The 27,715-nt window shown below is 52.0% G+C and overlaps 1 protein-coding gene across 2 annotated transcripts in view, besides 5 other annotated features; it reads right to left on the reverse strand.

The window, feature by feature from the left end:
- The window catches only part of PEBP4 (phosphatidylethanolamine binding protein 4), a 227,827-nt gene that overhangs the window by 49,696 nt on the left and 150,416 nt on the right, over nucleotides 1–27,715 (reverse strand). The window lies entirely within an intron of this gene.
- Nucleotides 14,185–14,685: an enhancer, noted in NCBI's record as "H3K4me1 hESC enhancer chr8:22634644-22635144 (GRCh37/hg19 assembly coordinates)". NCBI's record gives its function as "activates a minimal SCP1, AML or CMV promoter by ChIP-STARR-seq in naive H9 embryonic stem cells {active_cell/tissue: H9 hESC(naive)}" and the evidence as "EXISTENCE:reporter gene assay evidence [ECO:0000049][PMID:30033119]".
- Nucleotides 14,686–15,186: an enhancer, noted in NCBI's record as "H3K4me1 hESC enhancer chr8:22635145-22635645 (GRCh37/hg19 assembly coordinates)". NCBI's record gives its function as "activates a minimal SCP1, AML or CMV promoter by ChIP-STARR-seq in naive H9 embryonic stem cells {active_cell/tissue: H9 hESC(naive)}" and the evidence as "EXISTENCE:reporter gene assay evidence [ECO:0000049][PMID:30033119]".
- Nucleotides 19,979–20,665: an enhancer, noted in NCBI's record as "H3K4me1 hESC enhancer chr8:22640438-22641124 (GRCh37/hg19 assembly coordinates)". NCBI's record gives its function as "activates a minimal SCP1, AML or CMV promoter by ChIP-STARR-seq in primed H9 embryonic stem cells {active_cell/tissue: H9 hESC(primed)}" and the evidence as "EXISTENCE:reporter gene assay evidence [ECO:0000049][PMID:30033119]".
- Nucleotides 20,666–21,352: an enhancer, noted in NCBI's record as "H3K4me1 hESC enhancer chr8:22641125-22641811 (GRCh37/hg19 assembly coordinates)". NCBI's record gives its function as "activates a minimal SCP1, AML or CMV promoter by ChIP-STARR-seq in primed H9 embryonic stem cells {active_cell/tissue: H9 hESC(primed)}" and the evidence as "EXISTENCE:reporter gene assay evidence [ECO:0000049][PMID:30033119]".
- Nucleotides 22,040–22,725: an enhancer, noted in NCBI's record as "H3K4me1 hESC enhancer chr8:22642499-22643184 (GRCh37/hg19 assembly coordinates)". NCBI's record gives its function as "activates a minimal SCP1, AML or CMV promoter by ChIP-STARR-seq in primed H9 embryonic stem cells {active_cell/tissue: H9 hESC(primed)}" and the evidence as "EXISTENCE:reporter gene assay evidence [ECO:0000049][PMID:30033119]".

Genomic DNA, 27,715 nt, shown 5'->3' on the forward strand with positions numbered 1-27,715 from the left:
AAGAACGACCAAGGGCCAAGGAATAAAATGACAGCAGCATCTTTTCTGAGGGCTGAAAGAAGTCTTTTTTTTTTTTGAGATCGGGTCTTGCTCTCTCTCCCAGGCTGGAGCGCAGTAGCATGATCTTGGCTCACTGCAACCTCTGCCTCCCGTGTTCAAGCGATTCTCCGACCTCAGCCTACCGAGTAGCTGGGATTACAGGTGCATGCCACCACACCCAGCTAATTTTTGTATTTTTAGTAGAGACAGGGTTTTGCCATGTTGGCCAGGCTGGTCTCGAACTCCTGACCTCCGGTGATCTGCCCACCTCTGCCTCCCAAAGTGCTGGGATTACAGGTGTGAGCCACTGTTGCCCGCCGGAAGAAGTCTTAAACCCCTTGGGTTTCTTCTTGAATCCCACTCCACAATATCCCCAACCAAAGACTTGTTCATTCTTGGCTCTGGACACTGCCTCCAATCCCCGACAGCGGTCAGATCATCACTGTGTAGCTCTCATGGTTTAAAGTACGTGTTTACGAGCAGTGAATGCTGGCCCTAGAGCGTGTAGCTTCGAATCTTGCACTGCCACTTCCCGGATCTCTGACCTTGGCTAAGAGACTTAGCATTTCTTTGCCTCTGTTTCCCCCATATCTACAAAATGGGAACAATGCGAGTGTCTGCCTCACAGGGTGTTGTGAGGATGAGGCTAGGTAATATATATGTAAGAGGTGCCCAGCCTACTAGGCTAATTAAGGTTAGCTATCATTATTGTTAGAAAGTTTGCCTTCTCAACCGAGCTCTTTCTCCCCCAAACAACTACCATGAAAGAACTATCTCACCTCCAAGAACTACCATGGTTGTAGTTCTGTCTGGGGCCCCATGGAAGAAGATTAATTTTTCTCCTACATGACTGCTTTCAACTATTTCATTCATTCATTGCACAGTTTTGCTAGGTGGTCTCTGGATGCCAGGTGCATAATGCCAGGTGTGGAGAGAGCCATGAAGAAGACCTGGTCCCTGCTTTCAAGAGCCCATACTCCAGAAGGACGTGTAATTTGTCTTCGGAGCTTCTCTTCCCCAGGGGAAACGCTCATCAGTTTCTTCACATATTCCTCACTTAACATGATGTCAAGCCTTTCCTGGCCCATGTTCCTTATGTGAAATCATCCAAAGAAATTTACCAAGGATGAAGAAAAAATGGCAGCAAATTTGGGCTTCCATTACTCACACATACTCTATAGCACCCATTACTCAGGAGATTGGGATTCTATTGGGTTAGAGTGGTCCCAAGTATGTTGTTTTTTAAAAAAGCTCTGCACACTTGAATCTAATACACACACACACCCTCTATCCTGAAAAAATGGAGAAGGATAAACTCTTCTCTCCCAATGCTGATCTCCACCTCCTCCAGGGTCTCTCTTCAAGTCCAGGTTACTCTCTGTGGAGGTGTTATTTGATATGTGAAGGTGTGAGCTGCTGACCTGTGAACGCTTCAGGGTGCACTAAGTTAGCTGGCAGCCTCACTGTGCACCGCGTATGCCAGCCAAAACCCAGGGACCAAGGCTGGCTTTGTGGGCATGTGACCGGTGTAGTTGCCCAATGCCCTGTGCTTTGAAGGCCTTTATGTATATATATATTATAATAGTGTTCGCAGCCGAGTTCCTAGTAATTTCATCTTGGAATGTGTGTTTGGTAAGTGAAGTATCATGGGACTATGGAGTGTGTGGTGGGGATTTGGAGCCTCAACTGGCTGACCCGTGGTCCTACTCTGAGGCTGCTGCCACCTTCTGCTCTCTGTGGGAGCCTGGGTGCAGGTGCAGAGTGGGGATCGGTCATACACCCCATGGCATCTTAGAGTGGGACAAACATTGGTCACTCCTGTCCCCAAATGGCAACATTCAGTGGATGATTTGACAGAGGCCTCTCACCCACCCCCAATCCAGGTTCCAAGCACATCTGGGCATGGAGGTTGCAATCCTTGGGGATGCCCCTGGCCATGAGGACCAGTGGGTCAGAGAGAGGAGGGGATGGACTTCCCCTGTCCCAGGCAGGGCCCCACATTTCCAAATTGCCCTGGGTCCTGCAAATCGCGGTTCTGCCAGATACTGAGCCAAGCATTCCCTCTCTCATACCTCTTCCCATCGCATCGTCACCGGGTCCTCAGTTTCTTTCCTTCTTCCTTCCTTTATTTCTTCCTTCCTTCCTTCCTTCCTTCCTTCCTTCCTTTCTTTCTTCTGAGACAGCATCTTGATGCGACGTCCAGGTAGGAGAGCAATGGTGCAATCTCGGCTCACTGCAACCTCCCCTTCTCATGTTCAAGCGATTCTCCTGCCTCAGCCTCATGAGTAGCTGAGACTACAGGTATGTGCCACCACACCCAGCTAATTTTTGTATTTTTAGTAGAGATGGGGTTTCACCATATTGGCCAGGCTGGTCTCGAACTCCTGACCTCAAGTGATCTGCCCGCCTTGGCCTCCCAAAGTGCTGGGATTATAGGCGTGAGCTGCTGCACCCAGCCCAGGTCCTCAGTTTCTTAGAAACACCTTCTCTTAGGGACAAACATTGTCCCTCATGAGCCCATGCCTGGATGACTGTAACCACCTGGGAGGGACCCCCTGCCTCTGTTCTCTCATCCTTCCCATCAGTGATGCTGCCAAAGCTAGCATAATAGAAAACAAATTCAACTTTCTCATTCTCCTGATAAAACCCTGTCCACAAGAGTCCTCTTCTACTCCAGGATAACATACTGTGTATGTCCGTGCATGTGAGTGTGTGTATAGGTTCTAAGCACCTAAACAGATATTCGCTCCACGCTGCGGGTGGGCTCTCTCCACAGAGAGAGATCACCACCATTCATGGATCACCACCTGTGGATCACCACCATTCATGGATCACCACCTGTGGATCACCACCATTCATGGATCACCACCTGTGGATCACCACCATTCATGGATCACCACCTGTGGATCACCACCATTCATGGATCACCACCTGTGGATCACCACCATTCATGGATCACCACCTGTGGATCACCACAGTGTTTAAGACCAAGCGAGGAAACATGTCACAGTGGAATCTGGGCAGTGAGGATGCTATTTTCGAGGAAGAGCTCTTGCCTCACACCAGTAGACACAGGCAGCCAGCTCCTTGGCCTAACTTGATGGACTCCCTAAACACTTCCTCTTCCTTCCAAGCCTGTGTCTCCCTTCCTCACCCTCACGCCACAGTCTTGGCCAGTCTTGTCACGGTGAGGCCATCAGGTGAGAGGATGTGGTGTGGAGGATGTGTGCTTCAGGGTCGGGTAGACCCGGCCATTCATGCCTGTGGGACTGTGGATGGTGAAAGCCCACCGACAGGTCACAGGCATCTGGGAAATGCCAAACAAAGTGGAAGAAGCTGGCTTTGGGTGATGACCAGTTCATAGATGGCCTCTGACCTCACGGAGCTGGCAGCCCCTTGGCGATAACATAACCCTCTGTGCACTGGCTTTCTCATTTGCAAAAGGAGATCCTTTCCTCAGACTGAAATAATGCACATAAGCTGCATGGTATGAAATTTCTGAAGGGGCATTCTTCCACAGCCCAAGAGGTGTATCAGGAAGCTGGCCCTTCAGGGACAGGAACACCTGTGCACCACATCTCTGCGATGATGCGACCTGGTGCCTGTGACACATCCCTGCACATTGCTGTGGGGGTAACCAAAAATGGAGCTGTGGGAGCCAGTGGAGGGCATGCTGGCGTATCAGGGGCAGCAGCACCCGGGGCGGCGGTTGGGGGAATGGAATCCAATATGAAGATGGTTCTTTCTTTCTCTAACACTTTACTGCATGCCCTGGTGTCACTTTTCTCAGCATGGCTTCTCCCTGCACTCCTTGCTTCCAAATGCTCAGTACTTCCTGTCCACCCAGGTGGGTCACAGCACAGGCCTTGGAGGAAGCCGACTAAGCTGGGTTTGAATGATTGCTTCTGCAAGCTAACAGCCATGTGGCCTTAGGTGAGTTATGGGACCTCCCCATGCCTCAGTTTCCTCATGGACAAAGTGGGGGCTGACAATACCATCCTCCTTACTTCACCGTGGGGGTCTAGAGTGTGCTGCAGAAGTGCCTGGGTGAGACCTGCTTCCGGTTCCTCTTTAAGCCATACGAAGGGGTGTTCCGGATCTAACAGATTCTCCCTTCTCAGGAGTACTTGCATTTTAAAAGATGACCCTGGGGCTGCTTCATACAGCACAATAAATTGACTAGAGCGAAGCTCCGGTGGGAAGCAGTGGGGTAAAGATATTTTGGGGGCAGGAAATGACCTTCCTTTACTTCCCAAATCATACCACTTAGACTAGCAGTTCTCAGCCTCAAAGCTGTGACACGCTGGTGTGGGACCAGCAGTTGTGAGATGTATCACAAGCAAATGCTGCCAAAAATAAAGTGCTGTGGTTTTTGAATAATCCCCCCCACCAATTTTTTGTTTGTAAATCAGAGGGAATTCAGGGTTATCCCTATAATGTTGTCACGTCCGCTGTCATTCCTCCGTGATTTCTCGAGCGGGAAAGAAGAGTGAGCAGGAACCACTGCTTTCTGCAACAACACAGGTGATTCCTACGATAGAATACTATGATTGCATTTACATGACGCTCAAGAATACGCCTGATTGACAGTGATAAGAGTCCAAATAATCTCACCTTGCCGGGGGTATATGGATGGGGAGGAGGTGTGTGGGAGACTCTTGGGGTGTTGGAAATATTTGCTATCTTGATCTCGGTGGTGGTTACTTGGGTAAATAACCATTAAATTGTATGCTTAAGACCTATGTACTTGATGTATGTACTTGTAACTACATAGTTTTTTCTTTTTTGAGATGGAGTTTGGCTCTGTTGCCCACGCTGGGCTCGGCTCACTGCAACCTCCGTCTCCCAGTTTCAAGTGATTCTCCCGCCTCAGCCTCCTGAGTATCTGGGATTACAGGCGCTGCCACTATGCCCAGCTAATTTTTGTATTTTTAATAGAGATGGGGTTTCTCCAGGCCAGGCTGGTCTCGAACTCTTGACCTCAGGTGATCCGCCCACCCCGGCCTCCCAAAGTGCTGGGATTACAGGCGTGAGCCACTGTGCCCGGCCTATAAATGTTTTTTTGAAAAGTACCTTGGAATTCCAGGCAAACACCTATAAAGGGTTTTCCTATGGTGCCTGTTGGAAATTCCCTAAATGCCCTAGGGTCTTGGGCAAAGACAGTGGGGTGTTGGCATTAATGCAGGAGTCTGGGAGCACTGGGGTCCCTAGCAGGCTGTTTCCCCTGAAGTGACTGCCCACGAACACTTCTTGTGTCCCTCTGCCCCCTGGTAGATGCCTCTTTGGGGCTGACATCTCAGCCTTATTAGTGCCAGTGCTTGCAGAGACAGGACCCTCTTTGGATGTCTTATTTTTCCTGGCCACACAGCCCCTAGCACAGTAAGAGCATGGGTGCTACCAGTATGTGTTGTGAAGCATTTATTGCCTGGGGTGGTTTGGGGTGCTCACGCGAGCCCCCCACGACAGCCTCAGTGAACAAAGCCAAGCAGACCCCCCATCCCCTGCCAATCCAAGGCCCCACGGTGCTGAGGTGACAGTTCCCGGGCCTCCGGTGCGGAGCTCATTTTGTTTGCTTTGTATGTTAGTTTTCACCCAGCCCTTCGGTTGCCAAGGAAACAGTGACGCAGCCTCGGGTGGGGCCTCGGCCCAGTCAATACGGAGCCTTTTGAGGCAATGGTTCAGGGAGGCCAGCTGGGTGCTGGGGAGGGTGGCAAGGAGGTAGGGGGTGGGTCAGGGCAGGATGGGGAGAGGAGTGGGGGCGGGCTTTTTGTTGGCCCGCGGATGGTGCTATCAGGAGGCAGTATTCCATTTGCAGCCTCCGGAGACCCACCCTTGGCTGTGTCACCGGCAGATACGAGGCAGAAGGTTCTAGAGGCCGAAGGAACCGCCCGTTCCTATCCTGGTGTTTGTGTGGCCTGGGACAGTCGTCTCCGGGGCTCTGCCACATGTCAGGCCTCTGCAGAACTCAGTCACACTAGGAGCTGGGCAGAGTGGGTTTCTGGGAGCTGAGAGCATTTGTGGACATTTGGGAAGTGGGGGTCTGCTGGAAACTAAGGTCCAGGTGGATCCTTTTGATGTGAGAAGCAGCTCCTGTGTCCCCCAGGGACGATCTCCTTCCCTCTCTACCCTCACGTTGCCACCATCAGTGACATGAGACCCCTGGGAGCTCTCAGCCAGCTTGGCCTCAGTGCCCCTCAGTGCCCCCTCAGCCTCACGCTCCCTGGGCACGCCATTGAGGTTGCTCCTGGGTTCCTGCCTCCCTCAGGCCCATACTCTTGGCGCCAACCATGCAGCCCAAGTTTACAGGCCAGGAGGCTACCTGAGACTCCAGCCCTCTGGGGCTTATCTCAGAGTCTCTGTTTTGAAGGCTCCTCCAGAGAGGGAGGGCCCCATTATTATGCTTGGTCCTGTCTCAGTGGCTCTGGATGCAGCCTTTCGGTAAAGATATTCTGAGTTCCGTTCTTAACCCTAAGCTGCCCCACAACCTGGTGAATAAGCAAAGACCTTCCCTGCTGTGTGCCTCAGTTTCCTTTCTGAGACCCTTCCTTTCCTGCTGCGTGGATGCTCTCCCATGTCTTGCCTGCAGCCTAGAGAGGAATAGAACAGGGCCTTTCCCCAGGCCCCGCCTCCCCACCCGAATGCCTCTTCTCTGTCATCTCCCCATCACCCAGCCTCTTTCTCCTTTATCACCCTTCCCCAGTCACTTTTCAAATTCTGTCAGCTCTTCCTTCAAAATGTCGCCAGCATATGTCCCTTCTTTTTTTAAAAAAATAAATTCCATTGTTTTTCTTCGTATGAAAGAGAAATATGCTCAGTGTAGAAAATTTAGAAAATACCAATAACCAAAGAGAAAAAAGAAAAGAAAGCCGTCATCCTTCCTCCCGCCATTGCTGCAGTCATTATTTTGAGACACACAAGTCAGTCCCGGCCTGTGCTCAGGAACCTGCATCTCCTCTTTGTTTTGTGACTCCCTATTCCTGCCACTCTGCTGCCCTCAGGGCCCCTGACTCTCTCCTCTTGTCCACCCCGCCGCCTATGCCACGCTAACCTTCTCAAACTCTGCCTTCGAAATGCTTCAGTTTCCTACACGTCAAATCCTAGGCAGCCATCAGCCCCTAGGAAGCAGGCGCCCCTCTGGGTGGAAGCCCACAGGGTACCAGGTCTATGGCGGGCACCTTTGTGTGAATGAGAAAGAAGGCTCCTCTTCCTTGGGGCAGAGGAAGCTCTGGGACTGGGTCAGTGGCTTGGTGGGCAGACAGCAAGGAGCAGTCAACAGCTGTGGGAGGTGGCCCTGGTGAAACCTGCTCTCTGCCATATGGTTGCCAAAGCCTCCCTTACCCTCCCTTATCAATCGCAGTCCCCCTTCCAAAGCACCTATCCTCCCTCAATGCCAGGCCAGCCTAGTCCCTGCTTCTCAAATGCTGTGTGTTCGATGCCCCTCTGGCCTTGGCCGAAGCTGCATCCTGTCCTCTCTCTCCCTACCCTCCCACTGCGCATCCTTGGAGGCCCAGCCCAGGGGTCCAGGCAGGTCCCCTGAGTGAATCTCTGGGTGGGTTGGGGTCTGGGGTGAATGGGAGAGGGCCTGCGCTGGCCAGATCTTCCTCCAGGTTATTCATTGTGACTGTGTGATTTTTCAATGTCGCCTGCTCATTCAGCTCTTGAAGACACCCTGCCCAGGCTGAGGGAAGTTGTTCCATTTGTCCTCTGAATATTTCTGTGCCTCCATCCCACCTCTCCTTGATCAGCCCTGCTCCTCAGGCAGAGAAGCATCATCTTCACATTAGCAGTTCAGGCTGTGTGGTTTAACGGAAAGCACACGTATCCACGCATCCGCTCAACATGTATTTATTGAATACCTTCACAGGTTTTGCAGTAAAAAAAAATCTTGGCTTAGCTTCTGATGCTACCACTTTCTTGAGCAAGTCACCTAAATTTTCCAAGCCTCATTTGCCCACCCATAAAATGGGATTGAAGTTACTTCTCAACTCACTCACTCGTGAGAAGGCATTGAAATCAGATATGTGAAAGCATTTTGTAAACCGTGATGCTTGGTGAAATGCCATGAGCATCCCATCACCTTTGTTTAGGGTGTGCTAGTCACACTGAATAGTGTAAGCTGACCCCCACAGGACTGAACACCTACCAGGCATTTGATAAATACCTGCAGGTTAGTTAACACAATGCATTGACAGTACCATATATACCTTCTTCAACAGAGAATTTGTTGGCTGGGCACAGTGGCTCACACCACTGAGCACTTTGGGAGGCCGAGGTGGGTGGATCACTTGAAGTCAAGAGTTCGAGACCAGCCTAGCCAACATGGTGAAACCCTGTTTCTACTAAAAATACAAAAATTAGTCCGACATGGTGGCGCATGCCTGTAGTCGCAGCTACTTGGGAGGCAGAGGCAGGAGAATCACTCGAACCCAGGAGGTGGAGGTTGCAGCGAGCTGAGATCGTGCCATTGCACTCCAGCCTGGGTGACGGAGTGAGAGTCCATCTCAAAAAAGAAAAAAAAAGAAAATTTGTATAGATTATAACAAAACCATATGTGATGAAATAATAATAATATTGACAACACTAAGCAATCATTGGATGGAACTCTGACTCCGTGCTTGGCACCATTCAGGTAGAAGGTGAGACTTGACTCCAGAGGCAGGGCGCAGACACTGGACCAAATTGAGGACTAGCTAAAACAGGGATGGGGTGGAAGCTGCTTTCCATAAGACATGCCCACCAGCATGCTATGTCAGTTTACCATTGCCATGGCAACACCTGGGCGTTACTGCCCCTTTCCATGGCAATGGCCTGGCCACCCAAAAGTTACCACCCTTTCCCTAGAAACTTCTGTACGAACTGCCCCTTAATCTATGTGTAATTAAAATAGGTATAAATATGACTGCAAAATTGCCCTGAGCTGCTACTCTCAGCACAGTGCCTATGGGGTAGCCCTGCTCTGCAGGAGCAGTCATGAAGCTATAATGCTGTCAGAGTTTTAACACTGCCGCTTCAATAAAGCTGTTTTCTTCTGCTCTACCACTGGTTCACCCTTGAAGTCTTTCCAGGGTGAAGCCAAGAACCCTCACAGGCTAAGCCCCACCTTAGGGTTCATCTGCCCTGCATCACTGTGATAAGACCCTTTGTAATCATTGTCTCACTTAACCCTTCACAATAAATCTACAAAGAAGGTACTGTTGTTACCCCTATTACATAGATGAGAAAACCAAGGCTTAATGCAATTAAGTAACTTCTCCAGGGTTGTCTAGCTGGTGAGAGGTCTGGGCAGGAGAGGGAGCAGGGAAATAATTGGACATGGTGCGTCAAGACTTTGGGCTGAGATAATTCTGCATATGCAAAGGCATCTAGAAGAGTCCCAGGCAAACTGTAAGCACTCAGTAACTCATACTAATTATTCCTGGGTTCCATGCCCATTATATACCTTATTTTATTTAATTAAATCCTCACAACAACCTTGTGGGGCAGGGCAGGTATTCTCTCTCTCTCTCTCTTTTTTTTTTTTTTTTTTTTGAGACAGGGTCTTGCTCTGTCATCCAGGCTGGAGTAAAATGCTGTGATTGTAGCTCATTGCGGCATCCAACTCCTGGCCTCAGTTGATCCTCCTGTCTTGGCCTCCCAAAGTAGGTATTCTTATGTACATTTTCCAAATGAGGAAACCAGCAGTCAGAGAGATTCAGTGCCTCTGCGCAGGCCACAGAGCTATGAACTGAGAGGCTGGTCTGGGACCCAGGCCCTACTGTCTCCTCTACCTGAAGGTCAGCTATCTGAGGCCCACAGACCTTTTCTTAGACAAATAGGAAGATTCTGCTTCCCATGACATTGCTGGCCTTACTTCTGTGAGCCTCTTAGCTGGAAGGTCCTTGTGAAGGCCTTCAAGGCAGCCTCCACCAGAACCCACCTGCCTCAGAAATACCTGCACAGTCTTGGCTGCTGTGAGCTGGGCTCTCATAGCTAACAGGGGCCCTCTCTTTAAACTTCAAAGGAACAAAGACTTAGAGAACCCATCTTGGCCTTCCCCACCCCCTACCCCTCTTTCCCCACCCCCAAAGAAAAATGAAAGAATCTGATAATTACTTCTATCTACCACCCAACTGTACTAATTACCAACCTATTTCTTCACAGTATGACAGACACCAGCTCTGGAAAACACATAGAGATAAATTAGCACTAATTGGTTTTCCTCTGGCTGTTTGAATTAGTATTTAAAGCTCCAATTACAAAGCAGAATAATTGCTATTAATGTCCTATCGCAGCACAAAAGGCAGTTCGCTCAAGCACCAGCCCAGGTGTATTATTACTCTGATTACAGCATATTTAACCTGGCTCGTTAAGAGGGAGACACAGGGGACAGTTTCAATATGGTGGACAGGCCACTTCCTGCAGGGCACAAAGCTGGAGGAGACCCGTGACCCCAGGGAAGAAAGGCGGGGAGGGAGGCAGGGAGATGAGGGGATGGGGAAGCTGAGCCTGGAAGCCTGTGGGATTTCTCAGCAGGCTCCTGGGGTCTCTTCCTGTGGCTCTCACTGTCTCCTGGGGGCCTTTTCCTGGGCTGGCCTACCCCTCTCCCTACAGAACAGCTGCCTGCTCATACCCGAAGCTAGCAAAGTCATCCGCAGGCCTTCCTGGCCCCTGAGAGGGTGCTCAGGAGGGAGGCTGCTGCCAGAAGGACCTGTGGGATGTTCCCAATGTTGGCATCAGGCTTGTCACTAGGGAGCGGGTGGGGGCTGAGCCCTCTAGCCACACCTCTGTTCCCTTGGGAGCCTCAGCCGGGGGCTTTAGGATGCAGGGTTGCTTGCTGTTCCAACCGTGGGGGTCCTTGCTTTACCTCCTCCACCCTTTTCCATCTTGTTCCTCTACCAGGGACCTTCCCTGTTCTGACCAGAGGACGATGGGAGAGTTGGGAAGAAGGTGAACTCCGTGCAGTCCCCTTAACGGGTGCTATACACAGGGGGTAGGGTAGAGAGCCCTGGCTGTCCCACTGACAGGCTAGATGGCAAGTCCTCCAACCTCCGAGATACTCAGGTCTCTTCAACTATAAAACGGGCACCACAGCCTCCCTCCTGCTGGTTTCACAGAGCTGTGAGGTTCAAACCAGGATGGAGGAAAGTGCTCTGTCGATCACAGCATGCTGCTCCTGAAGGAAGGAGGCCAGGGCTTGAACTGGATCTGCCTCTTGCTGCTCCTTTCTTTGCTCTCATCTTCCCTTTCAATCACTTTCCTTCCTCTTCTTTGTCTCTTTCTCTACTTCCACTTCCTCCCTTCCTTTTGGGCTTCTGCATCTCACTCATCTCCCCATTCACGCTAGGATGTTAAGGACTCAATGAGTTACCCTTTCCTAGAGCAGCTGCGTTTAAGAAGGGAGGGCTATGTTTAACCCAAAGAAATGAGTCACTAATGGTGAACTTTCAGGCAAACTGAGATGATATTTTGTGGGGGAGAGGGAGGATGTCACAGTACTCTTCAGAGCCCCATAGGCAGCTGTCTACTCACTGACACACAGGTTTGGCGCCAGCCTGTGCCAGGCTCAATTTTAGCCAGAGAGGGAAGGAGGCCCCGCAGGGAGGAGTCAGCAAGAGAAAAATCACCGATGGGGGGTAGGGGCCGAGTCCCCTCCACCTGGCAAACCCAGCTGAAGTTGCTGACCCTAGATGTCAAGGTCATGACATGAGGCTTCGGGGACTCTCATTTTGGAGGTGCAGACAGGGAGCCGCTCTGGCCCAGCCGTCCCCACCAGGATAGGCTGCTGAGTCCTGGCCATCCCCGAGGCTGTCCTGAGGAGTTCAGCCTCCTCTTGTCTGTCAGCGCCTCTGACTCTTGTCCGATTTCCTTCTGTTGCCATATGGAAAGAAACCAATCTGACTTTCCCCCATGGTCTTCTCGGTCTGTTTCATCCCTTTTAGGTCCCCTGTCCTCCCGTGCCCTCCAGTCTCTCCCCAGCTCTTCCCCAGGAGCCCCTCTTTCCTTGGTCCTGCCAGCTCCTGGGTGACACCATCCTGGAGAGATGCCACAGGCCAAGGGGCAAAGTGGTATCTGTGGAGCTGAGACCCAGGTTCAGTGCAGCTCTGCATTAAGTTAGCCATGTGATACATTTTCCGTTGCCTCTCTGGCATCAGTTTCCCCACCTGTACCATAAGAGACGGGCCCCAAGTTCTCTTCTAAGGTCATGTTCTAGGTTTTAGGGCTCCCCTCTCTTCCTTCTCCATATCAACTGGCCCCTTCTACCCGAGAAAGCTGCCTCTCTCAGCAGCATCTTTCAGGGACCCGGAAGCCCCAAGCATCTGGCAAGGAGGGTTCCTGAGGTGGGCAATGGGAAGGCCGTCAGGGCCCGTCTGCCAGGGAGAAGCCTCCGGGTGGTCTCTGCTGGGTGGGCCCAGCTGTCGAGGCCCAGGCAAGGAGCGGCCTTGCCAACCAATCCCTCCTTTACAACCATGCCGGGAGGGGTGCGCAGGGGCCCGTGGGTGGTGTTCACGTATGGAGGGGGGGGATTTCTTTTTAAGAGACAAGGTGGGTGGAATGGGGGAAGCCAGCTGGCTGTGGGCTCTATTTCTACTGACAAGGCTTTACCCTGTAGGTGTGAGGAATTCCAATTAAATATGCAGCCTATTTGTCTGTGTGTGGGAGAGGGTTTGCTGGGAAGGAGGGGGACGGAGGCAGCGTCTCTGCGGCATACCAGCAAACCAGAAATTAGCTCCGTTCATCACAGGCACACGGGGCTTCCCTCAGCCCTCCTGTGCACTCACAGGAGGCTCGAGGAGACAGACAGAGGAAGCGAGAGAGAGGTTGGGGAGGCGGGTTCTCCAGGCTGGAAGGGCTTCCGGAATCTCTGAGTGGGCAGGAAGGATTGCCCGACTCCTTGGCTCTTGGGGGGGTTTCCCGTTCTGGAGGCGCCGGCAGTGAGCTTCTCTGGGCCATCTGTCCCTACCAGGGATGGCCAGGGTGGTCTGGGCTCACCCCTGGAACAATGGGGGTTGCAGATGCACACAGAGGGGTGTCTGTGTGCACCAGAGAGGCAGGTGGGTCTGTGGCAGGGGCTGCCTGGGGCAGGCACCATTACCTCTCCAGGGCCCTGGGGACCACTGGGACCCTCCCCTTCTTCATCTCTGCACCAAAGTAATACTTAGAAAGCCTCGTGAGGGGCAGCGGTTTCTTTGAAGAACAGAATCCTGAAATGCTGACGCCAGCGCTCACACCCTTCCTAGCAGAGAGATTATGCCAAGGTTTTTGGGGGTGCATGGGTCTCCAGAAGCCATTGCAAACCCTTCCCTTTCCCCTTTCTTCATTTCTCTTTTTACTCATAGATGAGATTTGGCAGAAAACATGAAAGTTCTGTAGGGCACAGAGGCCAATGTATGTTGACGCTGATAAATTTGGTCTTTCAACAGTAAAATTATGTGGTTTGGGGGAGCTTTCCATGGTGCCTGGCATGTGAGTACCTTTGAACCTCAGTGTTGATGGTTGCAGGGTCTGTGGGCCTCCTGGTTACGCCATCGGTCTTGCTCTCAGCCTTCAAACCACTGGTCTTTCGTTCCGGCTGCCACTCTGTCTTCTTACATCCTCCTCCCACGGGTTTCTCCATCAGCCGAGTCCTCTCTGCATTTTTGCTTATCTTTTCTTGATGCTGTTTCTCTCCCTATCTGCAAACACTTATTCCTCCCCATCTCTACTTTCACCATCTATTCCCCAACTGATTAAAACATAATCACTCGTTGACTTAAGGAGCTAAGTGGCTTGATATGGATGGGAGAAGGAGAATGGTTGGTAAGCCATTTTTTTCTGATCGGGCATCCGAGATATTGGTCAATGAATCCCATGCCAGCTGACTCCTCCTCTTCAGAGCAGCGCTGAAGTGAAGCCTGCGGAGCTGGGAGGTGGTTGGCACATGGCCTCATAACATTAGCCAGACTGGCCTGAAGGATGGCATTGGGGTACAACCAGGGCAGCATGTGATGCGTCCTACGGGGGCAGGCTTGGGTGGGGACATGGGAAGGGCACCGATCAGAATGGTGGGTTGGGGCAGAGAAACAGCAGCTGAGGTCCGGAGGGAGGGAGCTACAAAGGAGGTGAGTGTGCAGAGAAGCAGGTGGTGTGGGTCAGAGCATACAAGTGAGAAACTGGGAAAGACATTCAGCACTGATCTGCTCATGAGGGAGGGAGGGTGCTGGCCCCTTCCTCATTTTCCCCGATTTCCCTCTTTCCTTCTGCTTCCCCTCAGGTCCCCCTGAGTTCCCCCTCCTCTACTCCTCCACTCCCCTCACTTCCTCCATCTGCATCATCTCTCACATTTACAGTGTGGAAGAGGAGGGTGTGGCTACCCCAGGAGAACTTTCTGGGATGGAGAGGACAAGACCACAGTGGACAGGCTGTTGGGTGGGGCCCTTCTAAGCTGTGAGAGTGACCTGGGCTGGAGCCCAGGGTGGGCCTGGCCTAGAGCATAAGAGGGGCTGTGGGGAGGGGGGAACGCAGCCCTGAGACCTGAGGAGAGGCAGGCCCTGAAGGAAATGAGCAGGCTTCAGCTGAGGCCACATTGACAGGACCTCCTGGTGACAGCCTGAGGTGGCCAGGACACTTACCCCCTGGCTGCCAGCCTGCTCTAGCTCCATCGGATACAGGGTTCTCTTCTCACTCGCCCTGCACGGCACTCCTGTTGCCCCAGAGCCGGGGGTGGTGGCTGGGGCACCGGGAAATGTTATGAATGGCAGAACTGCTCCAAGCCCCCAGCCTTCCTCTTGAGGAGGAGGAGAGAATCCGACCATGAGGTATTTTCCTGGCGCTAAGGATAACCTTGTAGGAGGCAGAGGGAATCCAATTAGACATGCAAGGCTGGGGAGGCTGAGGGCGTGTGGGAGAAGGCTGCTTTTCACTTTCTGGCTTCCCCGCGCCCTCAATGAGAAATTATAGCTTGGCTCCTTCGTTACAGCCCCCCTCCGCTCTCCTCTTTCCTTTCCCAGGGCCGTCATCACACTCAGCTTTTCCCACCACCAGCCCCTGCACAGAGGGGGAAACAGAGTCCCACAACGATGGGACCCGCGAGGCAGAAGCCCTCCTGGGCAGTGCCATCACGGTTCCCTTCCTGTCTCTAGTTGCCCCTGGAATTTGGGGGAGGCTGCCTCCTGTACCCCTGGAGTTGGTTGCCCATCTACCCCTGTCTCTACTGCTTGTCCTGAGCTTATCTGAGCTCTGCAGTGATTGTCCATCTCGCCCCTCTCTGCTTGGGCTCGGCACAGGTAAAGCAGCAAATGACCTCCTTCCTCCCAGACCCAAAGTCCCCAACTGCCCCCGGTGGACAGATCCATGTGCTTCCATGTGAGACTGGATCCTGTTGCCCGGAAGATGCCCCACTTAGTCCTCTTTAGAGGCAGTTATGGGGAGACAGAGCTTGAACTTTTTTTTTTTTTTTTGAGATGGAGTTTCGCTCTTGTTGCCCCGGCTGGAGTGCAGTGGCATGGTCTCAGCTCACTGCAACCTCCGCCTCTTGGGTTCGAGTGATAACTTGGACAGGCTCCTGGGCCTTCTTGGGCCCTCACCAAGTACGCCCACTGATAGCAACTGCTCCACCCAAGATGCTTTTCCTGCCTTCCTGTTGTCCCTGTTTCCCTCGCCTGTGATCCGGGGATGGGAACGAGGCTTCTGCTGATGGAGCGGGCCTGGGGCCACCCTGTGGACTGGGATGCAGAGGCCTGAGTGGAGAGCTCCCCAGCAAAGCCTCCTGGGAGAAGGTTCTGGGCATGCTGTCTCGTGGCTGCTGGGCTCCCGGATGGCTCCCCAGCCTTCCTTCTTGCCCTACCCTGGCCTTCTCTCCTTGCTCTGCTGAGGCCATCTGAAGGGGGATTTTTCGGGGTAAGTAAAGTCTTCAGCCAGTTTTAGTGCCCCGCACAGTCAGGGGCTGCTGCCACCAGGGCGGGCTCCTCTGTCATGTTGTCGGAGGCTGTCCTCGGAGGTGTGAGGAACTCCAATTAAGCACTCAGCCTGTCTGCCTGCGTGGGGGGCACGGGCTGCATGGGAGGCGGTGACTAATCCTCACAGCACTGATCAGAGGCCCTGGGGAGTAGGTGGTGGGAAGGTGGGCGGGGGAGGTGGGGGAGGAGGGGGATGGGGTTTCCTCACCAAGTCAGCTGGCTCCCAGCTCTGCGCGTGTGATGGTGCCCAGAGGAGGGTTTGGGATCCTGAGAAGGAAAGGCCATGGGGACCCTGGCTCCCCATAGAAGGATCCAGTCCTCGTGGGGTTCAAGGTGACCCATATTTGGATTCACCTGTTTTCCAAAAACCTCTGATGTACCAGGCACGGGTGCTCCCCACAACCCTAAGACGGCTGTTATTGGCCTCAATTTACAAAGAATCTGAGCTGCAGAGAAATAAGTGACTTCTCAAAGGTCACCAGGCTAGGAGGTGGTCAAGGGAGAGGTCCCACACCAAGGCCAGTGGGTTTTTTATGGCGTCACGGAGGTCGCCAGGCAAAGAGCTCTAAGGGTCTTTAGCAGAGCATCTGGGTCCCAGGTCACAAATGTCCCCACCCACACCCCCATTATATGGAGAGACAGAAAAGCCCAGGGAGAGAGCTGGGCTGGTGCCGTGGTCCCCCGACTCTGTGTCCCACCAACAAGAAGAGTCCTTTGGAAGGCTGGGTGGTGTCTCCACTGGGAATGTTCATTCATTTGGCAAATATCTATGAACCACTGATATGGTGCCCTTAGCACTGTGTTTAGCACTGGGAAGGGTGAGGAAAGTCAGGTCTGGAAGAGGAGACACTCAGCAGGGCTTCGAATATATGCATATAGAAAGTGATTGGCTATTTTTATTTTCCAAGAATAAATGGGAGGAAACAGGGCAGAAACCATCACATGGGCGACTTAGCTTGGACATGCAAATGCTTTGGAGGGGACAACTGCTCAGTAGTTTGCCAGGGAAAGTTAAAAGCAGCATGGATTCCCAGGCATCTTGTTTTTTTAAAATCTTTTTTTTTTTTTTGAGACAGGGTCTCACTGTTGCCCAGGGTGGAGTGCAGTGGCACGATCACGGCTCACTGCAACCTCTGCCTCTCTGGCTCAGGTGATCCTCCCACCTCAGCCCCTGAAGTAGCTGGGACCACAGGTGCTGGGACCACAGGCACGCACTATCACATCCAGCTAATTTTTGTATTTTTTTGTAGAGATAGTGTTCACCATGTTGCTCAGGCTGGTCTCAAACTCCTAAGCTCAAGCAATCTGCCCACCTTGGCCTCCCAAAGTGCTGGAATGATAGGTGTGAACCATCATCGTGCCTGGCCCTTTTTAAAATCTTGAGGCAGGAGAGGAATTATACATTCCTTTCTCACCCAGGCCTGGGTCAATTTCACTGGTGACCAAGGCTGTTGTTTCTCGACCTTTTCAATAGCTTTCTGAGGCTTGGAGTAGCTCGTACCTTGAGGTTCATTTGTCCAGGACCCTACTAGGTCCTCTCCCCTCCCTAAGCACACACAGTAGAGAGAACCTCCCTGGGAAGCCAGGCACATTTGCATTTCTGCCTGAACTACAGATGAAGGTTTTGTGGGTTATGACTTCGTATGGATCCTTTGAGGTTCCACAGTGCCCTGGGCTGCCCACCAGAGGATGCCTCCTGGGAAGCTAGGAGAAAACCTGCGATGGAAGTTATAAGGCCTGAAGGCATTGACTCCCCTGCCATACACCCACCAGGAAGAAAAGGGGTCCGGATCAGCGGACCTTCAGCAGCTGGAAGGATGTGGACAGAGGGCACTAAAGTGATGGCTGGACTCCTCCGATCCTGAGGGCGTCTAAGGCTCAGTCTTAGGTCTTCCCTTCTGTAAAAGGATGAGAAAGTCTCTAGGGTTGCTTCTGGCTAAGGGGAAAGGAAACGAGTGTGCTCCGAGTGCTCCCACGTGTTGCCCTGTGCCCTGAACTGCACACAGCCTGTCTTTCTTAGTGAATCACCCCAACAGCCTTGTGGGATAGACACTATCTCCCATCTCCAGCTGAGGAAACTGGCTCAAAGAGACTCCGTAACTTGTGAAGACAGCGCAGTTAGCAAGCAGCAGCGTCCGGGTTCAGATCTGAAACTCTTTGTCTTTGAAGAGGACGGCGCCTGATTGTGGGATGGCAAATGACCCTTTGCCCCCTGCTGGACTGACCTCAGGTGTCCTGTTCAGAGCAGAGGTGACAGAACCTTTGGGGACAGGCCCCAGCATCTCCTTGTTGGTACCCTGTCCTGCCCACCACGTTTGGATGCCCTTGGCAGTGGAAGCCCTGCTTGGGGCCGGCCCCGCCTTGCAGTCCTGTGGAGGAGTAGGGAGTTCCGGGAGAGCCGGAGGGGGAAGGGGCTGGTGGAAACTCCCGAGGCAGCAGGCACCGGGGCTGGGAGTGGGGAGGAGGGACACGGGGGTGGGCTCCAGGCTTTTCCCCACACTTCCTCAGGGATCGCTTTACATAACCAGGGCTGCTTAGTCACCGCTTTTTACTTTTTTTTTGGAAACAATTTTCTCAGCATCACAGCTCCCGTCTCCATCCCTTACTAGTCACCGGTGCTAGGGAAGTCCCTTTTCTCCCGTTCCCTAGGCAACCCAGCACATTTGCCTTTCAAATGATCCAAGGCCTGGGCGGGGGTAGGAGTTCCCTCCCCCTGTACCCAGGCCTCCCACACAGCCACTCCTGCCTCAGTTGGCTATGTCATGTGGCCCAGCCACCCGAAGACATCTGGGAAAACCAGACTCCTTGCCTGGCCTCTGCCCCAATCCCAGACCCTCACATGTTTGGTCTTTGAATTTGGCTCAGGCTCAGGGACCCCAGCTCACGGCTGGAGGTGCCCATGTTGGACTTCGGACATGGCAGCCTGTCCCCCTTCCTCCCTGGGGAAGAGGGGGAGCCAACCAGGCATCTTCTGCAGGTGACAGAGCTGGGCCTCTCTCAGCAAGGCCCAGGTAACCCGGGGGGCTGAAGCCACCCACTCTGCCACCGTTCCCCAGGAACAGGACCTGCTGACCTCAGTTCCCCCTCTTTAATCTCAGCAGCCATGGTGGGTGAGAGGATCTGGGATTCCGTCTTGTTCTTTCAGTCACTCTGTGGCTTTCTCACTATTGCTTGTGTCAGCCTTGACTGGACAGAGGTGTCCAAGTGCTTGGGAAACTGAGACTTGAGACGGGAATGAGCATGGGTAGGGGAGAGGTCTCTCGGGCTGGGTGCCAGAAACACTGGACAGAGACCAGATGGGCCCTAATACACTCCCCTTTAAAAGGCCACAATGTTGATCTTAGTGATACAAGGTGCCTTACCAGTGGGCTTGATAACTATGAATTAAGAGCAATCATGTGAGCTATAAAAACAGAGTAGTGCAAACTCACAGAGCACGTGGGAACCTCTCCCTCATTCATTCAACACACACTGTCGAGCACCTACTCTGTGCTAAGCATGGTTCAAGTCCTTGAGAAACCACCAGATCCAGACCTCTGCCTTTGGGGGCATGAAAATACCCGACCCATCCATTAGAGAGTTTCAGGGAACTGACATTTTTAGAAGGTCAATGGACCACATACAGAGAGAAAAAGTCACATCTGGGCACCAGGGAGTGCTAATTAAGAAAAAAATCGCTTAGAATGATTTCTTCAAGCAAGAGTTCTTAACCCAGGACTCATGAATAGTCTTCGAGGGGTCTGCAAATGACCACAAATTGCAAAATTGTATACCTCTGTATATGTTTGCATGTATATTTCCCTAGGGAGAGCCCGACCACTTTCATCTGATTGGCATCTCTGATCCTCCAGGAGGTTAAGGACCGTTTTATCAGCAGCTGGCCCAGGTTTGGAGGCAGCACGTTTTAGGGTATCCTGAGAGTGACAGCCCACATACACATCACACCTGGAGGTTAGTGTCCTCAGTGGTAACTGAGTAACCAACCTCCCAGGACTCCTGGCGTTTGCTTCTGCCAGAGTCACAGGGAAGACGACTAGCTCCCTCAGCTTTCCTGCCCAGACCCATAATAGGGAACAGCAATCCCGGGAGGTTCCAGCTGCCAGCAACTGCAGGTTCCATCTCAGCCAGAGGGTACTGGCCAGGCACCTGCTCCATGCAGAAGCTGCACACCTGGCTGGGTAGGGCTCCTGAGGTTTGGGTAGGGGTACATGGGCCAGGTCTTGCACTTCCCTGGGAGAGGGTTGGGGCAACCCAGGACTTCTTAGGGCTCTGTCTCCCCCATTCCAACCTTTTATTTTGTTTCTATATTTAGATCCTTTCTCAGTCCTTTCTTGAGAATAAGGGAGTGATGCTTAGCAATGTTCTTTGTGTTTTCATTCTGTGTTCCCTCTGGGGAAGGATGGGCATGGCTGTCTAATGTGGATGGCAGACGTCTATGGATGAACGCCTCCTGGGATTTCTGTGTGACCAGCTTTCTCTTGCCTTTGGCTTAAGGCTCGACTTCCTCACTGGATGCTTGTGCCTGGAACTGCCCTGTAGGGGTGACGCCCTCCAAAGGCAGTGGCGCAGCTGCTCCTGTGCGTACCCAGTGGCTTTCTTATGGCGGTGGCCAGGTGCTCAGTGAGAGGCCTGAGGCTCTGGGTGGAACCAGATTCCAGGATTCAGCTAGGATCCAACTAGGGTCATTGTTTTCAGCGAGATCTCACAGCAGCGACCCTCAAGATGACAGAAATGAATAATGCCTCCCTAACACATGCTGTGGTTTTTGGTTTTTGTTTTGTTTTGTTTTGTTTGAGATGGAGTCTTACTCTGTTACCCAACCTCCCATGCTCAAGTCATCCTCCTGCCCCAGACTCACAAGTAACTGGGACCGCAGACATATGCCACCATGCCCAGCTAATGTTTTGTATTTTTGGTAGAGATGGAGTTTTGTCACGTTACTCAGGCTGGTCCTGAGCTCAAGTGATCTCCCCGCCTTGGCTTCCCAAAGTGCTGGAATTGCAGGAGTGGGCCACCACGCTGGTCTGGCCGACACATGCTGTTTTCAAGCACTTCCTGCCCACCAGGAGGGGAAGAGATCACTGGCTTTGGAGTTATAGCAGGAGGTTGAACCCCAGAGTGGCTCTCATTGACCTTGGGAAGGTCATGCAACCTCTCTGGGCCTCAATGTCCACATACGTAGGAGGAGCCTGGGGACACCTGACTGCAGGCTGTTGTGGGGATTATGGAGACAGCCCCTGGCCCACAGCAGGTGCCCCATCTTTGTTGGTTTTCTTCTGTCCCTGTCACCAGCACCCCTGCAACCTGCTACCAAACTGAGTAGATGATGATATGTAAGTGGAGAGGGTGTCAGGGTTGAAGGAAGCTATGAAGGTTTCATGGAAGAGGTGGGGCTTGCGTAGAACACACAGCACACTCGGAGTGGGGGATGGGGTCAGGAATCAAAGGCAAGAACGAGAACCAGAGAAGGAAGGAAGGGAAGGGACAGAGTGTGGTTATCTTGCAGTTGCTTTTACAATTTGTCATTGATGCCTTGATTTGAAGGAAACTGAGGCAATGGAGTAGCTGAGACAGGCCTCCTAGCCTTGAATTCTGGCCCTGCTGCCAGTGACTGGATGTGACCCTGTAGCCAACCTCCCGACCTCCCGTCCCGGGAGATGTGCCAGGCTTGGGTGCTGCGAGCCGGGAGCCTGATTTAGCGCACGCCTTGTTAGGAGAAGCTAATTAACAAACCTGCATTTAAATAAGCAGCCGCCCGGGTGTTTGTAACCACCGCCTTATTGAATTGTGACAAGTTATTAGCCCTTGCATGTTAAATGAAACAGAAGCATCCAGGAAAAACCCCTAAATCCAATCTGCATAAAGCAGATTCCTGCTGAGAAAATGACGGCAGCAAAAACTGATTCACTCGCCGCTTTGGGGAGAACTCCAGGCCTCCCTTCCTTCGAGGTTACATAACCCTCTGTCAACAGCGACATCAGGAGAAAGGCAGCGAGCCGGAGGGGGGACCGTCAGGAACGCTCTGGGATCCATCTGGGCGTCACCTTTTGCGGGTGCTGGGGACACTGCTTGCGTGAAGGAACAGAAACGGGCCACGTGTGCACGGTTTGCGCATGTGAGCTGTGTCCAGGCCTGCTCCTCAGATCCCAGTGTGTCTAGAACACTTTGCCGCCCACTCTGTCCCCACTTTTCCCAGGCCTAGATGCTGCTCCCGTGGCAGTGGGACGACAGGGCAGCTCAGCACAGACCCACGGGGGCCCGGCAACTTCTCTCTGCATTTCCGCAAATGAGGGGAAGCTAGGAGCAAGGTCAGCATGTGGTGCCCTGACAATTCTATTTTGGAGGAAAAAAGCCGTTGGCCCTCAGCTGTCTTCAACCAAGGATACTAGAACCGGAATCGAGAGCTGCTGTGTCCTCAGTTAAATTCCTGTCCTCCTGGGGCCACCTATGGGAATCTGGCCCAAGTGCCCCTCTGCATTTCCTGCCGAGTGCCCAGGACAGAACCACGGCCATTTCGAGACCCCAGATGTCCTCCAATGTGTCCTCTCGGAGACGCCCTATCTCTGGAATGGGGTAAGGCTCTAAAAGGCAAATTGAGGTCGGCGGTCTGGCTTGGGACAGATCCGCCATGTGCTCCCTGGCCACAGATCCTGCTCCTGCTCCCTGAGGGAGGAGGATTGAGACACAAGCCCAGAGAGGGAGGCAGGGGTGATCCAGGGTGTGAAGGAGTCAGATGGGCTCTGCCACCTGCTAGCAACATGGCCTGGGAAAGTTACAGATCCTCCCTGAGCCTGAGTCCTCATTCAAAACAGGAGCAACAGCGACCACTCCAGGTCCCCGGAGAGGCCACCTCAGTCTGGCATCGAGAAGCTTGTCAATGACTGTGAATAGAGGAGGAAAAGAGCAGACCGACAGGCAAACGTGGAGCTGCATTTTCTGGGCTTTGCTGCTCTTCCTCCTGGAGACAACGGGGCTACTCTAAAGAATGCAGGTTTAAAATCTCAGCTCTGCTCCTTACTACCTTCTGTACCCCTGGATAGGTGGATTCACTTCTTTGAACCACAGCTTTCTCGAACGTCAAGTAGGGTCAGTGCTTATTTCGCAGTGTTATAGTGGGAATAAAATAAGACAGTGCATGTTTAGAAAGTGCCCAGCATGGAGTAGAAACTGAATACATCCTGGCTGTCTTTCCCTTCCTCCTATCCCCTTCATCCGGCTTTTTGTCTCCCAGCAATAGAAACACTAAACCGTTTGTTCTGGAGGGGCTCTGGATTAGTGGTACTAAGGAAAGAACACTCTAATACATTATGTATTCTGGGGCTTGTGTTCCTTGGTTGGGACCTCTGGTAATAGGCTAGGTATATTTCTGTTTTTTTGTTTGTTTGTTTGTTTGTTTTTTAAGAGACAGGGTCTTGCTCTGCTTCCCAGGCTGGAGTACAGTGGTGTGACCATAGCTCACTGCAGCCTTGACCTCCTGGGTTCAAGCAATTCTCTGGCCTCAGCCTCCTGAATAGCTGGGACTACAGTTGCACGCCACCATGTCCGGCAATTTTTTTTAGTTTTTGAAGAGACGGGGGCCTTGCCATGTTGCCCAGGCTGGTCTCGAGCTCCTAGCCTCAAGCAATGCTCCCACCTCGGCCTCCCAAAGTGCTGAGATTACAGGCATGAGCCACCATGCCTGGCCCCTCTGGATTTTGAAACCCTGTCTATTAGTGGCTTTAAAAAAAAGTTGCTAGGGCAGCAGCTTGGGGGAGCAAAAAGGAAGCCATCTCTTTCTCCTCAGTCCTAACGTCATCAAATCTTCATCTGAGTGATCAAAGGTTGTTCATCAGAGCACACTTCATACAAAGCTCCATGCCAGGGAGTGAGGGATTGTCAATATCCAGGGAATCCTATGCAGGAAACAGGGCTGCACCCCCTACCGCTTTTTTTTTTTTTTGAGACAGGGTCTTGCTCTTTCACCCAGGCTGAAGTGCAGTGGTATCATCACGGCTCACTGCAGCATCAACCTCCAAGGCCCAAGTGATCCTCCCACTTCAGCCTCCTGAGTAGGTGGGACCACAGGTGTGTATCACCATTCCTGGCTTATTAAAAAATTTTTTTTGTAGAGACAGGGTCTCTCTGTGTTGCCCAGGCTGGTCTGGAACTCCTGGGCTCAAGCAATCTTCCTGCCTCGGCTTCCCAAGAGTGCTGGGATTACAGGCGTAAGCCACTGTGCCCAGCTAAGGGCTGGTCCCTTCTAATGGGGATTCTGATGTTTGGGCAGGAGAGGAGTCTGTAGGGGTGGGTTCCTCTAGGAACACTATCTTGGAGGGTGGTAGGATTTGCACAGGTGAGGAGAGGGGTCGTATTTTTCTAAAAGAATGAAATATAATGAGTGGAGTTGAAGAGTTGGGGTCTTCCTTTAGATACACCAGCCAGGTTAGCATAAAGAGTTTGTTCTGGAGAAGAGGTCAGAGGGCAAGAATTACACTGAGTCTTAAAATCTCAAACTGAGCTAGCCTTGAGAACGTTCCTTCCATAAGGTCTGGAAATTGGCAGAGGCGGGGGAGGGGGATACCAACATTTTGATGGGCGAGTTTTGTCCCATGGCACCCATACCCTCTCCTTGTAGTCAGAAATGACTTAGTACAGATTCTCAGTTGGCTGGTGATGGCAAAGAGAAAAGAGGAGTTATCCTCTAAGGCTAATACTTGCTCCTCTTTGCCACTGCTTACGCAGTCAACAAACACTTGTTGGGGGTAAGGCCAATTCAACATGGCCTCTACTCTCAAGTACTTGAGTCTGGTTGGGGATTCAGAGAAATAAACCACCACTACTACTCCTACGGCTACGACTATGAGTAATTGTGCGACGGTGCTAAGTTCCCTGATGGGGAATGTGGGAGTTTCCTAGGTGAGAGGGGGCTCAGTTCTGCCCCAAAGAAGCTGGGTCACAGGAGGGCCCTGTGAAGGGTGAAATGTTTCAGCTCAGCCTTAAAAGAAGATCTGGGCAGATGAAGGGGTCGAGGTGAGGGCTGGGGAAGGGAAGGGTTTACGTTTCGTTGATAACGCGTTGTGGATGGGCCTACAGAGCGTGCAGGGGGAGGCGTGCAACGGGCCCACAGGCTTGGAGCTCTGGCAGAGGAAAAGTGGGTGTGGCTGGAGGCTTCAGGGATGCACGGGCTCATCCTGGGAACATATGAAGGGAAGGGGGATGCTGGGAGAACCAGGAGCAGCAGGCAGGAAGCCAGGTAGAGGGAGGGAACCTGGGAAGGATGTTGAGAAGGACTGGCCAAAAGGGCAGGTGGCAGTGGGATCCAGGTAGCTGAAAGATGAAGGGGTTTCAAAATGGGAGAGGGCTTCTAACTATCACCGAGAAACCCCTGGGACAAGAACTGCATGTTTCCATCAGAAAGTGGCTGCCAGGGGGACAAAGAAGGAGCAGGGAAAGACGAATGAGAAGAGAAGAGGGAGAAATGGCAAGTGCAGCCTGCTCTTAGGCGGAAGCCGTGTGGCTATGAGGGCCCATGAGAGGTGACGCAGGGAGGGAAGGCCCTAGAAGCCCTGAGTTATGGCAGTGGGGACCGAGGTTGGCAGGCTGGGGCACAAGCAGGGTCCTGGCGGTGTTCAGAGTCTCACCCATACTGCGAGGAGTACCCAGGACAAATACCTACACGTGTCCCATCCTGGGCCTCGGTTTCCTCATCTGTAAACTGGAGAGGCTGGACCACAGCCTTGCTAGGTCTCTTTTCAACTCTAAAATATGACTGTCCTGATGGTTATTCATATGCTATGAATTCTAAATTGATACAAGGATTCTACATTGATAGAAATTCTAAATTCTGGATGGCATTTTAGTTAACATGTACCAAAAAGCCTTTGAATATGCAAAACCTTTGACCTCTGAGAATTTATTCTCAGAAAGTCACCACAGAGGTGAATGAAGAGTTGTGTATTCACAACTTTGTTCATTGTAGCGTTGGTGATAATATAAAAAAAAAGCAGATACAACCTAATGTCCAATAGTAGAGGATTGGCTGAGTAAATTATAGTACATCCATATGGTAAACTACTTCTGCACTAAAAATCATGGTTTAGAAGATTATGTGTTGACATGGGAAAATGTTAATGATATATTGCTAAGTAAGAAAGCAGGCTACATTGCAGAATGTACAGTATGATACATTCATTTTCAAAATTTTTGATTAGGACACAGACCAAATCTTTAATTAATGTCATTTTTTTTCTTTTCTTGGCAAGCAAGAAGAGTATTATCTAGAATATTGTAACTAAAAAATGAAACAGAAAGACAGTTATACACTAAGTGTGTTCACAGGAATTTTTAAGTCATTAGGATGGAGAGTAGGCTGTCAGTGAGTCAAGGAAGCGGAGAAATTCTGAAACTATAGAATTTTAGAAGCGGAAATCACCCCTAGAGATCGTCGGGCCCAACCTCGCTTTTTTTGAGACGAAGAAATTCAAGCTCCTAGGGAAGTCTAGACAGTGACTAGTCAGAGATGGGGGTGGGTGCCAGCCTGAAACTAGGGTCGTCCAACCTTCAGTTTATGCTGGTACGTTTGCCACCCCTCAGAGAGACCCCGCTGATACTTAAGAGGTGACTCTATTCCTAAGCCCCCTGAGGTGGGGCTGTGGGCTCCTCCCTTCCTCCCAGCCTCTGAAGACCTATGCAGCTCAAAGCTGCTCTAGGCCACAGGAAAGTACCTGGGCCCACTGCAGAGCTCTGGGGCAACGTCTGCAGCAGCATGGGGGTCCTTTGCGAGCTGATCCAGTGCCCCAAAGGGAAATCAGTCTCTGGGTGGCCCAGAGCTAGGCTTCACTGTCTTCTTAAGAAATGGATGCTCACCTTGTCAAACACTTTTGTGACAGACATGATTCTCCTTCCTCCAGAAAAAATTCCTCTCCGCCTCCCACTCTGCTAACCCTCCAATGCAAAGACAGCACTTCATTTTTACCGAGTTCAACATCTTCGGGGACAGGTGCAACGGGCAGATGCCCTGTAGTCCATGTTGATTTGGTAATTCTGTAGCACTCTTTCTGATGCAAGAGAGAGGGTGTTGGGCCTGGCCTTCCAGGATGGGGAGTCCAATGCCTCTTCTCTGGCCCCATGGCCCGCTGACCCCCATGGCCGCTCCGTCATCCCTCTCCTGGGCCACTGAATAGCCTGCTAGCAGATCTCCCTGCTCCTCCCCATCAACCCTCTCTAAGTCTCAGCACCAGAGCTGTGGTCTTTATTTCATATGCCTGTTAACTTCCTTTTGTCATCCTTCAACCATTGCATGGGCTGTTTGATGATTCTTTCCTTCCTTCCTTCCTTCATTCACTCATTTATTTATTCATCACATGTGCAGGCAGAGAGCTAGGTGCAGTTTTGCCCTCAAGGAGGTCACAGTCCAGAGTGGGGGCAGAGACCCTTAGAACCAATTATCCTCAGGCCATGTGGAAGCACCTCCTGAGGGGGTAGATACAGGGATTCAAGGGATGACGAGGGCCCTGATGGCTGAGGTAGACCAGGAAGCCTGCTTACATCGGTGGGATTTGAACCGTGCCTTGGCATACCGGTGGGGGAAGAGGGGCACGGAAGAGGAAGACATCCCAGACAAGGCCCCTAAGCATGGCAACAGCTTAGCAGGGGCAGAAAACACCAGGGATATCTCGGCCTTGCTGGGGCTGGTTGGGATGATGGGATCACGTGGGGTGGAGGGGGAAATAAAAGCTGGGCTGGGGCCTGACCTTGAAGGGTCTTGTGGCTACCTTTGAAGG

The sequence above is a fragment of the Homo sapiens genome, chromosome 8, assembly GCF_000001405.40.
Source record: "Homo sapiens chromosome 8, GRCh38.p14 Primary Assembly".
NCBI classification, from domain to species: domain Eukaryota; kingdom Metazoa; phylum Chordata; class Mammalia; order Primates; family Hominidae; genus Homo; species Homo sapiens.